This window comes from Homo sapiens, chromosome 8 (assembly GCF_000001405.40).
Source record: "Homo sapiens chromosome 8, GRCh38.p14 Primary Assembly".
NCBI lineage: Eukaryota > Metazoa > Chordata > Mammalia > Primates > Hominidae > Homo > Homo sapiens.
This window is the reverse complement of record NC_000008.11, coordinates 101,740,967-101,757,712: the sequence shown is the minus strand read 5'-3', so window position 1 is coordinate 101,757,712 and position 16,746 is coordinate 101,740,967. Positions and strand designations below refer to the sequence as shown.

General features: G+C 40.9%; 1 protein-coding gene across 24 annotated transcripts in view, besides 1 other annotated feature; it reads left to right on the top strand.

Moving 5' to 3' along the window:
- Positions 1-16,746, top strand: part of NCALD (neurocalcin delta) — a 438,366-nt gene that overhangs the window by 367,195 nt on the left and 54,425 nt on the right. For 4 of the 24 annotated variants that reach the window (XM_047422305.1, XM_047422316.1, XM_047422313.1 and 1 more), the window contains one exon: positions 11,720-11,882. The exons of 18 other annotated variants lie outside the window; for them this stretch is intronic. The gene's annotated coding sequence lies outside the window, so the exon portion shown is untranslated. Of the gene's footprint in view, positions 1-7,025; positions 7,116-11,719; positions 11,883-16,746 lie in introns of all 24 variants that reach the window. 2 more of the 24 variants (XM_047422303.1, XM_047422319.1) reach the window with 1 other exon arrangement.
- Positions 6,440-7,639: an enhancer, noted in NCBI's record as "BRD4-independent group 4 enhancer chr8:102762302-102763501 (GRCh37/hg19 assembly coordinates)". NCBI's record gives its function as "activates an origin of replication core promoter dependent on BRD2, P300/CBP, MED14 and CDK7 cofactors, and independent of BRD4, by STARR-seq in HCT116 cells {active_cell/tissue: HCT116}" and the evidence as "EXISTENCE:reporter gene assay evidence [ECO:0000049][PMID:35650434]".

The window sequence follows — 16,746 nt, the reverse complement described above, 5'->3', positions numbered from 1 at the left end:
GGAAACACTATAATAAATTTTTAGGTAAAATTGATATTAAAAAAAAACCCTACCATCTAGAACTGGGGTGATGAAGAAGGCCAAGTGAAAAATTATTTCACAAATTCATGAAAAAAATGAAATATTTTTGGAACATTGGAATTCAAAATACTTCATTAGACCTGGGAATAAAAAGAATGACAGCCATTTTTCTTCTTGCTCTTCTCTACCTCCTTCTTATTCATTGGGGAAAGTCACAGAAACTAGAGATGACTGGCCCTCTATGAGTAGTTGTCTCTGCAGCCCTCAGAGGTCAGGACATGCTCTGTTTTAAGTTCCGGAGAGATAAGGACAATGGAGCGAACAGTTGGAAAGTAACACATAGCTTTACCTAGTATTCTCATGGCTTGCCATAGCACCTTGAATGTTCAGTTACTTTTCTTTTTAAAAGAGAAACTAGTACTTGACCTTAGAAAGTTGTTTTCTGTTGAAATGGAAATGTTATGAGAGGTTCTAGTGAATAATGGAAAATGTGAGGTTATTTGATGAGAGGTTGAGGACAGGATCTGAAGGCCATGGTGGGTAAACAGTAGGAGTGAGCAGCGATGTGTAAATATTGACATGGAACTCAGGAGGAAGCAAGAGGAAGAAAAAAGGATTATGGCATGAAATAGTTTTTGCTTATTGGAAAAATGTTGTTCCTAAAGAATAATAAATCTTAAAGAAAAGACAGAGACATAAGAGACTAAGAAGGGAGCCAGTATTGTCTTTGATTGTGTTCATCCTTCCAGAAGTTCTCAGCCACACCCATGTTGGAAAGGTGGTCATGGTACTGTGGCATTATTCATTGCCAGGTGAAAAAGTCAGTCAATTCCTTATGTACTGCATAGTAGAGATTCTAATAGGATAAATTTAATAATTGCAAAACAAGACATACAATGTATATCAAGCCATATTCTTACCAGAAAAATCTCATCCAGTCAGATTCTCTTGTCAGGTGCATTTGTAACTGGTGAGAACCACTCACAAACGGCAGTGCAGGTAAAGTTGCATCCCTCTTATTTTAGTTAATTCTTCGGAAATCCAATATACCTCATTAGCAGGCAAACCAGTATCTCTGTCTTGTTCTTTTTCCTCCTCTTAATTGTCCTGAAATCTCCAGGGCTTATTCCGTGCAAAGATGGCCCTTGACTTCCAAATGCATAGCATAGACTGCTGAGGTCTCATTGGTCTACCCTGCACTTGCTTTTCACTGCCACACAGTGGCGCTGTTGAACACGGGCCAGGTACAGTCTGATACTCATTGCCTATCCATTGTTGCAGGGAATCCTAGCTGGTCGTGCTGACCATTCAGGCCAAGAGAATGTGCCAGCCAGGAGAGTTTACCTATACAGTGACATCTTGGGTCTCAGGACAGCCCCAGTTGTGCTGAGTGAAGTCCTCTTAATGATCTGTCACCTCATGGAAGCTTTCTCCCAAGGTCCTTCACCAAAACAGTGAACCAGCTTTTCTGTTAAATCCTCAAAATAAAGGACCTTGAAACACTTATCTCCATAGACAATGGAGCCACTAGCGGTACATTTATACTCATCAATGAGGCCACTTCTGATCTGATTTTCTGACATTTGTCTTGATTTAAAAAAAAAAAAGGTGGGGGAAGGGAGATGGACAAAAACTTAATCTCTGGCAGGTCCCGTCTGATGACAGCTCAGCACACAGTGTGTGTTTAGGAATTGTTCTGCTTCTTATTCTCCCCACATCAGTCATGATTCCAGAACTTGAAGTGGTTCAAAGTGAGCTCATAGTAGCATTTAACCTGTTGAGAATCTCTTGTCACCACTATATGTTTTCACTGGTAAAAGAGTCATCTGATTTACTGTGTGTCCCCACATTCACAATGCATACATATTCACACAGGACATGGAAGCCAAAAGTAAATGGTTAGTCACAAAAGGTTTGTTTTCTCCTATTTTGCTGTTTACAAAGGAGTGTTATCTTATGTTGGAAAGGATTTCAGCCAAGAACAGCAGTGAGGCTGTAGGAGCAATGTTACAATGTATTTCCCTGGCTTTTTAAAACCTATTCCCTGGTTTCTGCCTGCAAGCCTTAGGATGTGAGATGCGGGCTGGAAAAGCTGCTGGAGGGTAAAGCAGTAATAGAAAAAAGAAGATATTTTGAGAGACAGGAGAAGATAGGGTGAATGGTGGAGGAAAGAGGTAAGGAAGAGTCATGAGCATGAAAATGATCTGTGTCCCAGCATTGATCATGAACCCTGATGGCTGTTGGATCCATCTTTAGGCAAAGACAGCTGTGCTGGGCGTGGTTGACAGAGCATATCTGAAACAGGCCAAATTGAACTCTTGTTTACCATGATTAAGGTGACTATATAATTGATTGTCCAAACGGGAATACTTCTGAGAGTAAAAAGGAACATTACTAATACTGAAGTTGGGGCAGCGGTATCAACTGGGACTGTTGAGGGCAAACCAGGAGTTAGAGTCATTTGTATTTTGAAGGTAGTTTCTTTAAAAATCAAGACTTTAACTGTGAACAGTGCATTATTCTGATTGCTATGTTAGCTACAAACAAAATAAGATGGTGCCACCTCAAAGAATTGACAGTCTAGTTGCAGAGATGAGACTCACACACAAAGAAATTATCAGTCACCATCCAAGGTGGTGTCTAACCAAGTACCAAATAAGTGATAGTATAGTCATAGGATGTGCTAGGAAGGGCACTGGCCTTGGAGTTAGAAGACCTGTCTGGATCGCTCTTTAGCAGAGTGACCTTGTGTAAGGTACTTAATCTCTTGGAACATCCATTTATTTTTTGACTGATTGATTCATCCATCCATTCATTCATTTATTCATTCATTCATTCATTCAATAAACATATGGACTGGCCCTGTGCCGAGTGTATCTTGGTGGTAAAGAACACAGCCTTTACAGAGAGACACCTGGGTTCAGGTTGTACCTCTGTCACTACCTGGAGACCTTGAACTTAACCCTCCTGAGCTTCAATTCCCTCATCTGTTAGATGGTGATAACACCTGCTATGGTCTGAATGTTTGCATCCCCCAAACTCATATGTTGAAATCCTAACCCCTAAGGTGATGGTATTGGGAGGTGAGACCTTTGAGAAGTGATTATGTCATGAATGGGATTAGTGCCCTTATAAAAGAGGCCCCAGAGAGACCACTGCCCCTTCCACCACATGAGGACACAGCAAGAAGTTGCCCTCTATGAAGCAGGAAACCAGCCCTCATATCAGATATCAAATCTGCTGCCACCTTCATCTTGGACTTCCCAGTCTCCAGAACTGTGAGGAATAAATTTCTGCTGTTTGTAAGTTCCCCAGTTTATGACATCTTGTTATAGCAGCACCAATAGACTAAGACAATACCCAACTTGTAGAGCTGTTGTAAGATATTGTAAATGAGAGAATAAAGTCAGATTTTGTATAGGAAACATCCAACAGTTTCCAACATACAGAAAAAGCCCAAGAAATGATAGCTAAATGATAGCTAAAATTATTATTCCAGATACTGTACTGGTTGCTGGAAATGCAAAGGAAAGCTAGGGAGAGGGCTCTACCTTGCAGGTGAAAGCAGAGAGTGGTACCTGTCGACACACCCCCCAGGGCTGTTAGGAGGGTCCAATGAGGACATAAGGTGAAAGCACTTCACAGGCTCTGACATGCTGTGCAAAGGAAAGACCTCACGGTTCTTACCAGTGGTTGGGGCATTGTCTGGATCCTTCTCTTTTCCTATTTATTAGGATGCTGTCAACTGTAAATAAGAGATAACCCAAAATATCTTAAATCATATGTTATCTCACAGAACAAGAAGTCCAGAGGTAGAGTGCTTCCAGGATTGGCTAATTCTGTGGTTTAATAATGCCATCAGGAGTCCATAATTCCACTCTGCTAATCTCAGTTCTTGGTTGACTCACCCACCTCAGAGTGATACATTGGCTGCATCAGTTCCAGGCATTTCATCCTCACCACACCACGCACTAGACGCAGAAAGAGACTATCCCTTCCTTGTGTCTTAAGATCTAAGAAGCCCTTCTTGGAACCCCACCCCTACCCTTGCAGACTGACTTGTCCTATTGGCCAAAATTGGATCCCAAGTCCCTTCCCAAGCCAGTCCATGGTAAGATAAAGTTATTGTAACTGCCTTACGCTAATCAATATCTATTCTCTGGGGACTGGGGATCTTTTCATCTTCCCTAAAAACATGACATTGTAGAGGGTGTAAAATTCCTGAACGAAATCAAGTTTTTGTTAACAGGAAAGTGAAGAGAAATGGTTGTGGGTAACCACCAGCAGTGTCATATATTGTCTCTACAGGTCCAGTTCCTAATTCTACCTTAAAAATACCTCTTAAATTCACATTGGCCTTTGTCCAGGTTCTCAATATCTCCCATCTACGCTCTTGATTCCTTCTCTCTCTTCTTATCCCACCCATCTGATCTTCCCTTCATCCACCAGTCAGCCCTTTATACAATTCAAGCCCGATTATACCATTTCTTAACTTTAAGATTCTCAAGACTCAATTCGGATGCAACCACCTCTTTGAAGGTGCCCTGGATGTTTTATTTATGTCTCTTTTATAGCCCTAATAAGAGACAGTCATGCATTTGAATTATTTGTATATTCTCTGTGCCTCCCGCTATCTTTCCTGTTCAACATGGTACCATTGGCCACATGTGGCTACTGAGCACGTGAAATTGAGCATTGAAATTCAAATTGGGATGGCTTGTAAGAATAAAATACATGTTGAATTTCAGAGATTTAGAACAAAAAAAGAGGATCGTAAAATATTTCATTGGTGACTTTTAAAATTGTTACATGTTGAAATTCCATTTTGGTTAAATAAAGTTTTCTTCTTAATTTTCAATGTGGTGACTAAAATATTTCAAATTGCATACATCATTTGACATTTGTAGCTCACATTATATTGCTGAGCACTAGATTGCTAGCTCTTGCAGAGCAGGGCTGTACCTTATTTATCCGTTATTTATCACACCAGCTTTCTTTTTCTACCTTATGGTCCGTTAGCATTGGAACCTAGTCCAAACACTTTACTTGGTGAAAATAAAGCTTAAGAAAACTCAATTTGGGGATGAAAGAGCACAAGATAATTTCATGTTATTTGACCACCACTCCTGGATTTCTGATACATAGGTTATCTTTTGTGTGTTCCAACTCATCTAAGCTTTTAAAATTTGCCAGGTTTGGAAATCACTCTTTGTTGTGGTTACTTCAGGCCACTAAGTTGTTATGGACTAATCCAAGTTGAAAAAAGAGAGAAACTAGAATTTAATTATTTTGGTTAGGTTTGTTTTTCTCTGTTAGTTTTTAATTCTTCCACTTAGATGTTCCTCAACAAATTATATTTTACTTTTTTAAGGTAGTGGTGCTGTCTCCATGACTATAACCTCTAGAATATTTTAGTTATTTTTACAGTTATTAGAAATAAAGAAGCAGATGTAAGTTATGCTTTCTATTCAACTTCACTGAATTATAGCTGGAAGTTGCATTTTTTATGGATGAATTATATATATTTTACTGTTTATTGTATTCTTAGCAAGGATCATTTAGAAGACCAAGAAAATGACCATATTATACAAAATATTTAAGAGAAAACCTGTTTCTAATGGCATAATAAAATCGGAAACTTTAAAATATATATTTAATGAGCAGAAGTAATGGAATTAAGTTTTATATTTACAGTAGCCAAAACATGCCATTGTTTGGGGGAAATAATCTTTTTCTGGAAATGCCTGATAAATTTATACTTCTAACTTGGAAATAAATAATATTCGTGGTCATAAACCATGTGCTGAAGAATACAGCAGGATTATGTGGTTATCATCTGGTCAAAGGGCCTGGCAGCCTTTGAAAGCTGAGTCATGGCTGACCCCCACCTTTGGGGCAGGCTGTCTCCCGAATAAGCAGAAATCACTGTGGAGTCCATTATTTTTCAGTAGGACTACTTAGTAAGTGCTCTTTGCCAGGTCTTGTGAAGATCATTGTTTCCTTTGTCTTTGATCTTTTCTCAGTCACTGAGGAAAGTTCTGCCCCAGTGACATGTGGCTGCTGGGAAGCCAGGGTAGAATTCTGGGCCCTCCCCTTTCATGGAGATGTTATCCCTGGACAGCTGGGCGATTCATTTCCCTCCCTCCTTTCCTTCCTTCCTTCCATGGTGAAGTAAACATAACAAAAAATTTACCATTTTAACTAATTTTAGGCATACAATTCAGTGGCATTAAGTATATTCAAATGTTGTATAACTGTCACCATTACCCATTTCCAGAACTTTTTTCATTCCATAGAGAAACTATGTACCTGTGAAACACTAACTCTCCAGTCATCTCCTTCCCCACGCCCCGACATCCCAGTCCCTGGTAACCTGTGTTCTACTTTCCATTTCTAAGAATTTGCCCATTCTAGGTACCTCATATAAGTAGAATGATGCAATATTTGTCCTCCTATGTCTCGCTTCTTTCATGTAGCATAATATCTTCGAGGTTCACCCATGTTGTAGCATGTGTCAGAGCTTCATTTTTTAAGGCTGGATAGTATTCCATTGTATGTATCTGCCGCATTTGTTTATCCATTCATCTGTTGATGAACTTTTGGGTTGTTTCTACCTTTGAGCTATGTGTGGTTTGTAACAGTGATATAAAAGGTGATGACACTGGTCATTTCTGCACTTGGATGTATTTCTGATGGAAAAGAGAAATCCAGCTGTTATCATACCTAAAACCTTTTAGGCGATATACCCTAAAAGCAAGTGTGACTTCCTTGCTGAAAACGAGAGCCACTCTGCAGAAGGCATGTCATCAGAGGTGGAGACCTCTTTAGAGTTCTGATTTCCCAGGGCCAAGTGCAAACATCTCCCAGAGAAGGCAGGCCTGCTCATCACCTGGCAGAAGATGAGGGTAGGGGCTTCTCACTTCCCCCGGACATTCCTAGGCAGGAGGGACTTCAGAGAGTCTGACAGAAAGCTCCAGGCCAAGTGTTGTCTGTTTGCTTTAAAGGGAGAAAAGGGAATTTTTAAAAGGAGAATGAAAGTGTCCTTGTCTCTAGAACTGAAGCAACTTGGAGGAATGAGTGGAGTCTTTGTTTAGGTGAGTGACACTTCTTTTTGGCGTGCCTGTTGCCATTTTATTCCATGTAGTGGTTGAGTCATGTTGTAGCCAGAGACCTGGAAATATCCAAATCCTGCTCTGCCAGTCGCCCTTCTCTCCTGGGGGTTTCTCTGGGGGCTACAAATATACAGACCTTGGGAAATCAAAGTACCTTTTATCACCAGTTGGACAACCAGGGTGGGCCTCTCCGGTGATCAAGTCAAGAGGATGGTTTGGACTCAAGGCCCAGATGCGGCCTCTTCCACCCTTTTGGTTAAATTCCAGTGTTTCCACCTGATATGGTTTGGCTGTGTCCCCACCCAAATCTCTTCTTGAATTGTAGTTCCCATAATCCCTACGTGTCATGGGGGGGGGACCCGGTGGGAGGTGATTTAATCATGAGGGCAGTTACTCTTCATTCTGTTCTCGTTACAGTGAGTGAGTTCTCATGAGATCTGATGGTTTTGTAAGGGGCTTTTACCCCTTTTGCTCAGCACTTCTCCTTCCTGCCATCATGTGAAGAAGGGCATGTTTGCTTCCCCTTCTACCATGATTGTAAGTTTCCTGAGGCCTCCCCAGCCATGCTGAACTGTGAGTCAATTAAACCTCTTTCCTTTATAGATGACCCAGTCTCAAGTATGTCTTTATTAGCAGCATGAGAACAGACAAGTACACCACCATCCAGCTGCTATGCCAGAAGAGACAGCAGCCCTGTACTATGTGGAAGTAAAAGGGATGAGGAAGAGGGTGCCGGATTTCTGCATATCTTGAGAGCCAGATGAAAGAGAGAGATAGAGGGAATATATTTGACTTTAACAACCTGTAGTTCTCACCTCTGGCAAACAGTGGACTGGAGGGCTCACCCAGTGATATCAGTGCCTCTTGAAAAGTGACCTGAATAGAGGGTAGGGGGAAGGGCAGTAGTTTCCTCCTTCCTCTGTATATGCATAGACACCAAGCTAAGGGTTTTATGAATGTTTCTTTATACAACCTTGTATATCATGTACTCATTATTATCCCTATTTTGCAGGTGAGATTACTGAGGCTCCAAGAGTATATATAGCTAGCCTGTCATATACTTAGTGGAAAAGCAGGGCTCTCACCCAGATCTACTGTACATCTTGGTCTGTGATTAATTATTCTGTAATAGTCTTCTTGTCAGACTGGGTTCCAGAGGCCCCCAGAACTCTTGCCGCAGTCAGCCCTTTTTTAAATCCTATTCAAAAAGTAGAATGGGAATTCTGTGAGAGGTCACTTCCAGGATTAGTTTTTGCTTCTTTGGAGAAGCACTTCTGATCATGGAGACTATCCATTCTGCAGAGCCATTTATGAGGCTTAATTTAGAAACAATTGAAGTGATTATAGCAAAATTGTTTTAAAAGAAAAAGACAAATGGACTTATTTCAGGCTAATGTAATTATGTTAAGGATTTATTTCTAATCCACTGTGGAACCCTGGTTAGAAATAAGTGTTAGAAAGCAAAGCATTGGCTTCGGGAAGTTTTGTTGAAGGAGTTTTTAAAGCACACAGAATTAAACTCATGAAACTGACAAGATGCTGCTGCACAATTACATATGGAAAACACACACACATACCGCGCATGCACACATGCTCCAGGGTAAGAAGAGCAAAAGAGACCACACTCATATTGCACAGTGATTATCCTGTGGCACCAACAAACCTCACACACCCCCTGGCCTTGAGAGAGCCTAACCTGGTTCTGTTCTCCAGATCTGCTTCTCTTTATCCCCATAGTTTTATGATTGTATCAGCACAGAGACTGCATAATGTACTGGTTTAGAACGAGAGTTCTGTGGTTATGGCCCTGCATTTTAATGCTGCCTCTACCACTTGTTTGCTGTGTCATCTTGCATAACTCACTTAACCTCTCTGTGCCTCATCCTTCATCTGTAAAATAAGGATGATGGTAAGACCATCTTCAGAGTGTTGTTATGATGATTAAATGAGTTAGTGTGTGTAAAGCACTGGTTCATGGGGAGTGCTTTTATAGGAATATGCTCAATCACAAAAAACCACAGTGGCCAGCCAAGCCCACCATGGGCAGGGTGGGAGGCAGATGGAGAAAGGCCTCATATTCACGAAGGACCACACTTTTGTCACTTTCTCCACTAAGTTTTTATGTCAACTCAGAGTTATACTGGTGAGATTGATGAACGAGCTGACAATCAAGCCACTTAAACTTGGGTCCCTAGACCACAGCACCTAGGGTGCACTGTGAATTAATATTCTTTATGATCCTACAATTTGCTTGTGAATATTCTAATTGTAGTGCATTGAATTTTTACTTGTGTCATAAATCTGCTAAACGTAAATGCTTAGATTAAATCACCATTTTTATAAATCTGTTTTTCCTCCCTTTTTAATAAGCCATGGGGACACAAAAAAAGACAGGTGACCAGGCCTCCCTTGAACTCTGGGATCAAACCTGAGCCTTTGGGATATTTTCTGAAAGGAAAATGTCTCATTTCATTAGAGGAGGAAGGTCTGAGTCCATGGTGGCAATTCACTCAAATCAGAGCTTTTCTCATTCCATTATTAGTGTATAATAATCACTTTTCCCACTGGGTGCGGTGGTTCATGCCTGTAATCCCAGCACTTTGGGAGGCCGAGGCGGGCAGATCACCTGATGTCAGGAGTTCGAGACCAGCCTGGCCAACATGGTGAAACCCCGTCTCTACTAAAAATGCAAAAATTAGCCAGGTGTTGTGGCGGGCACCTGTAATCCCAGCTACTCAGGAGGCTGAGGCAGGAGAATCACTTGAACCCAGGAGGGAGAGGTTGCGGTGAGCTGAGATCGTGCCATTGCACTCCAGCCTGGGCAACAAGAGTGAAACTCCATCTCAAAAAAAAAAAAAAAATCACTTTTCCTCAAGCTCAGTGTAAAAAGGGAACCCTGGAAAGTAGGCTTAAAGAGGAGATAATCTGTAGGGAAGTGCAACTGTGGTTGTTTCCATGGTGTCCCAGTTGGGATGCTTCCAGGTACAAGTCTGAAAAACTCCAACCTTGGCTTGCCACAGAGAAAATTTATTCTCTATCTCACACTACTGAAAGTTATGGGAGGAAGCCCAACTGGTGGCTCAATGATATCATCATGATTTTTCTATCTGTCTTTCTCACAGCCTCAGGGGCACTTCATCCTAAGGCTTTGCAGTCACAAGATGACCATAACAATTTTAGCCATATCATCAAACTGCGGGAAAAGGCTGTTTCGCTTCCTTGTGTTCCATCTTATTAGCAAGGAGACTCTTTCCCCAAAGGCTTCTAGCAGCTGTCCTTTCCTGATTCATTAGCCTTCCCCTAACCAATTCTTGGCAAAAAGATGCAACCACTATCATTGGCTTAGACCAACCAGATTTTGCCTGTGTCACAGTGGGAAGGAGGAGAAGACGCCAGAAGGACATCAGGACTCTGTGTGTGTGGGGCAGGAAAAGAGCTGCTGGGTGTGGGTCCAACAGACTGTGTGCCACGGGAACTTTCCAAAGCAGAGGTGTCTAAACTGGGTTTCATGTTGGAACCACTTATACTGGATATCGTAGAGTTGGCTGCTTTGAGGGCAGTGTTGGTGATGGCATAATTGAGATTGGGCCATATCTCTTACTCAGCACATATTTGATTGGAACATCTTTGCCCTAACACCATGAGAATGAGAGGAACAATTCCAGGTTGTAATTCCATCAGGGTAGCATGGCATCCCAGATATGACATCTTTTTGGTGGAATTTAGTGAAAGATCCAAGTGAGAAATGAACCTTAGCTAACGATAAGGTCATCATTATTACTATTCAAAGATTTATCTATGTAAAATTTACATTTATCCAGTTAAAGACATAAATGTAATATATTATTATATAATTATAATTAATATAAAATTTACGTTTCAGAGATGCATGGTGATGATCATTTGGGGTACTGGTTTTGGTTGATGAAAAAACAAGGAAGCTCATTTTGCAAACATTGAAGGAAAATATTTTGCTTCACATTTGAAGACCTGAATTTCAAATCTCAACACAGGAATCTGAATCAATATGAGCAGCTATGAAGCTCTGCCTTGAATGTGTTCTTGTGTTTCCATCCTGAAGAGGCTGAAGTGAACATGAAATTATGGCACTAACATATATATATATATGTATCATAACCATTGTTGTTGCTATTGCTATTAGTATTTGTATTACACTGGATAATTTCTGCAACACTTGTACATGCAGTACCTCATTTGGTCCATACCTTATAAGGTATTATTCTGCCCATTTTACAGCAGATTAAATGACTTGCCCAGGGTCACCTAACTAGTAAGTGACAGAACAGGAACTCAAATCCAGATATTGGACCTTGATGTCTATGTTCATTCCTTACCATTATGAAACTTAATTGCATGTTTTAGCATTTCCGAATTTCATCTTTTCACTGGAGGCCTGAATTCTGGCTCAATGACTTTCTCTCCCCAAGCCTATATTTTTTAATCTGTAACATGCGGTATAATGATAACTAGTGCATAGAATGATTGTGGAGGATTAAGTAAGACACTGGGTATGAAAGTGCTTTGTAAAACTGTACACTATTACACAAATGTGTGTTCATTCCCAGCTCTCTTTCTTTAAATGAGATATGGTGGTGCGTAATGATCGAAGCAGAGACTTGGAGTCTGGTGTGCCTGTATTCAAATCTGACTGCACCACTTACTGTCTGCCAGATCTTGGATAAATTATTTAATCTCCCTAAACCTCAGTGTCCTCATCTGTGAAGTGAGGTGAGTGATACTCTCTCTTACAGTTGTTACAGAGATTAAATGAGATAATGTGCAAAAAACATTTAGCATATTGCTAGGCAGGTGACCAGTAATGAAGTGAGGGTGAACATTAGGACTGGCACACTAGGAGGCCCTTGGATGAGTTAGAGACGTATCACATTGCAGGTGATTGTGGTGATGCCAAATAGCAGGACAGAACAGACTTAGGGAAGCAGGGCCCACTCACTGCATTGTGACATCACTTTGTAATTAAGTCTTTTCCCAGAAAAGAACTGTCTTAACCAAGTCCTGTCTATAAAGTTTTCTAATTAACTCGAGTCACTCCACAATGCTTGGAAAGACCACCGTGCAATATTCTTTGGCTCTAGTACATCTAATTTTGTCTTCAAAGAAAACCTGACACAGTATGAGGGAAGCTGGGAAATGAAAAGAAAATCTTCTGTGGACAGATTTTCTCCCCCTACATCTCAGTCATTGCATTTCAAAGCCCGTTTCCACATAATGAAAACTGCTGCTCACCAGGGCGTGATGGCTGGGCACTGAACATCACCCGTCTGGGTTTATGTGTATTTTAAACAATAAGAGATGACAGGCTAAAATGGTAAAGTGGCTCTATTATCTAAGAAAAAGCAATTGAGTTATTCTGAATCAATGGTGGAGCATGCATAATAGGTTTGTTGGATTTTCTTTTTTCTGCAATTACTACGTTTTTTGAGAGTTCATAAAATTTTAATTTTTACTGCTTTATCAAGGACGTTCTCGGTGAAATGAATAGTCCCCCCCACCCTACCCCCCAGAAATGCTTGATGATGACATGAAGATCCAAAGACTAATGCTTCAAAGCCACTGCTTTGATTCCTACAAAGGCACCAGCAGTCTTTCCTCACCATACGATTATTAAATTTTATTTTGGTTATTTAAGTCAGGATTTCTCATCCCAGGTGAGCTGTGAATGAGGTGTTATTGATCCCTTGGCTTTCCAGGCAGCAGGAGTACCCGGCTTCCTGGAGCCTTCAGCATTCTCATCCACTTACCAGAGTACTGCATACATAGTGTCATTTTCTCTGTGTGCCTGGAAGTATAAAGGGCCAAGCAGCACTGCTGTAACAGCCTGCCGATTGTAATAGCTTCCTGCTCCCATGGCAGGGACACGTGCTTAGTAGAAATTTCCATAGGTAGTTTGCCTGACTAAGCTTGATCTTGACAATGAAGATATATGGTAGATAAACTAGAAGTGAAACTGGATCTCTGCACAGCCTGAAACTCAGATCCTAAGACTTTTAAAACTTGATAGAAAGAAGATAAAAGATAAAAACTCATTTTAAGATCTGCCAGCACTACGTGTCTTGCTAGAGATGGAGACTTCTCCGTTACTTTGGAACTGTTTCTTTGACTATGATAATCACCCAAGTGAACTTTGAATTATGCACATGTAAGGATTTGGTTCTGTTTGAAATTGGAGATGTTTAAAATGCTCTGGTTTCAAGAAGCTAAAAATATATTTGCTTTGGGAAGAGGTGGAGGTCAGGGATAGTCTGCTGGGAAGACAGAGCTGGGATTCCCATCTAGGTTGATACAGGTAGACTGTGCTTCCCTGCCTGCAGTAGATGAGCACCAGGGGACTGAGGGGGCTGGACTGGAGTCTTTGGGGAGGATCATGAGGACCCTGAATGCCAAAGATGGTAGGAGCTGAGGAAGGGAGAAAGGGGCTATCAGAGGTAGCATGATGGCCCAGGGCCTGAGCCTTGATCTGTCGATCTGTCTTTGGTTCGTTCCACCAACAAATTGCATTCTCCTTGGAAGACACTTCTCCAAGTCAAGGCTCTGGGCTGTTTACATCTCAGTGCCTTCTTAACTTCTCTCGGGTTTAAAGGAGTTCACACGCTGTCCAAACCACCTCTGTGATTTCCCAGCCGAGCCTTGGCCCGAAGGGATCCTTTCCCACTTACTGTGGTTACTCAAGTGTTGGGGGTTACTCAGTCCTTTGCTCCCTTAGCAATTAGGAGCAGATTTCAGACAAAACTTGGTCACAGCTTTGCTGTGTGCCTCATCCTCAGGACATTTTTATAATTCGATTCTGATATCTGTCCTCATAAATTCATGAAGAGATTGGTTTATTGTCATCCTATTTCTTCTGGCATCTGTGAATAATGAAAACAGCCTCAGAATTGATAGTGTCACTCACAGCTCAGTGTTATTTGAGGTAGTCCAGGGAATGAAAGGCAGGGAAAGTTCAAGAGGAAAGTATCACTTTCCCTTTGTACTCACCTGTCAACATCCCCCTGTGCCCATAAAACCACCTTTACCTTTCTTAATAGGTTAGGTTAAAGGCAAAACCCAACAATTCTAATTGCTCCTTAACCCAATCTCATAGTGAAGAGAACTCCTACCTTTGTTGTAGACTTAAATGTTTCATGTGTAACGTGTTATTGCCTTAACTAGATTATGCTATTTGAATATAGATATCACAACTTTTGTATAAAGCAGTCCTCTATCTGCTCTACCAGCTGACCAGTCTCCCCTGCCATTCCATCCCATATCATGCTTTGGACCTACTGTAATATCCAGGAACACACTGAGTTTTCAGGAAATTCTTGTGAAATAACTGAAAGGGAGATGGAATCTTCCTGAGTAAAGACACTATTCCAAGCATCTCTCATGTGCTAAAGTGCATAGCTCATGGCCTTTATTCTAGGAATGATATTCATTCTAATTTTTCAATCCTGCTATTTGATCTACTGGGAATAAATTTAAATATTTTAAAATACACTCTTTAATACATATGTAAATATATATTTAGAATCCTTGTAAGCCATGAAAAGGAATGAGATCATGTCCTTTGCAGGGACGTGGATGGAGCTGGAAGCCATCATCCTCAGCAAACTAACACAGGAATAGAAAACCAAACACCACATGTTCTAACTCATAGGTGGGAGCTGAACAATGAGAACACAGGGACACAGGGGAGGGGGAACAACACATATTGGGGCCTGTCCAGGGGTTGGATGGAGGGAGAGCATCAGGACAAATAGCTAATGCATGCAGGGCTTAATACCTAGGCAATAGGTTGACAGGCACAGCAGACCACCATGGCACACATTTACCTATGTAACAAACCTACCTGCACGTTCTGTACCGTATCCTGGAACCTAAACTTAAAAAAAAATCCTTGTAATCTAATGAGGATCAGTTTATCAAACTATATACATAAATTTTTATTTTTTGCTACGAAACAAAAATGGATTCAACTCAGATTTGATCACTGTTGTGTTAATTCTAGTATTTTACTGTGCTTCTATGTTCTTTTATTATCACTTCTCTATGAATACAGTCAAATTCTATATTTGCATAATTTTCTTATAATGGAAAAAGCTATTCTTAAAGAAATAAGCAATTGACTCAGGATTAGCATAGTGCTCTGTATCATTTTATACATTGTTGCACATCATAATTCATGATGAATGGAAAGAGAAAACTAGCAAATTTATCTTCACAGTTATTCAAATGGAATACTTACATATAGCATCCTTCCTTTATTGCTTTCTTCTTCAATAAAATTATGTGGATGAATTTCCTTTTTCTTTCTTTCTTTTTTTTTTTCTTTGAGACAGAGTCTCACTCCCAGGCTGGAGTGCAGTGGTGCACCACTTCAGGGGTTCAAGCGATTTTCCTGCCTCAGCCTCCCACATAGCTGGGATTACAGGTGCCCACCACCACGCCCAGCTAATTTTTTTTTTTTTCAGTAGAGACAGAGTTTCGCTATGTTGGCCAGGCTGGCCTCAAACTCCTGACCTCGTGATCCTCCCACCTCAGCCTCCCAAAGTGCTGGGATTACAGGTGTGAGCCACCGCACCCGGCCCTTTTTTTTTTTCTTTTCTTTTTTTTTTTTTTTTTGAGACAGGCTTTCGCTGTATTGCCAAGGCTGGAGTGCAGTGGTGCCATCATGGCTTGCTGCAGCCTTGACCTCCTGGGCTAAAGTGATTCTCACACCTCAGCTTCCTGAGTAGCTGAGACCACAGATGCATGCCACCATGCTTGGTTAATTTTTTTTTTTTTTTTTTTTTTTTGTAGAGATGAGGTCTCCCTATGCTGCTTAGGCTGGTCTCGAACTTCTGGACTCAAGTGATCCTCCTGCCTCAGCCTCCCAAAATGCTGGGAAAATGAGCCACCATACCTAGCCCCTCCTTTTTTTTTTTCCTTTCACTGTAATCATTTTTGTTTCAATCCCATCCATAAAGCTGAATTTGATTATAGGAGTAAGCATGTTTGAAACTTTAGCTGTATCTTCAATGAGGAAGGCTTAGGTTGTCAGTCCCAGCCATTTATTACATGACTATATTTGTGCTTCTGATGATATACTGTATGTCATTTGTATAAATTTAAGGTGTTTGCTAGCTACACATGATAAACGCATAGCTGTAAAGTCTCCTCTTCTTAGATCACCTCTATGGAGCTGTGTTTGCTGACATCATAACTGCTGAGCTATGTGTACTAATAAGCTTGTCTGTGCTGCAAGATTAAATAGATAAGGCCAGAAGTCACATTATTCAGGAAAAAGCAGAATGTAATTTTCTTTGCAATTTCTTTTAATGGAGTTAGCACATCTTGCGATTCAGCAGCATGTGTATTTTTAAGTGGTTTACTGTGTGTGTACACAGGGATACAGGATGCAGAATTCCGGGTGCCTCCTCTCCTTGGCCTGGCCTGGCTAGCAGGGAGTAGGATCTACCTGACCTTGCTTCAGCTGTCCCTAGCCTGAATAGTGATAGTCCAGGAAAATACTACAAGCTATTTTGAACAACTTTAGAATATTTGGGGAATACAATTTTTTTACACTGATTCTACAGAGTTGTTTGTTTTTACA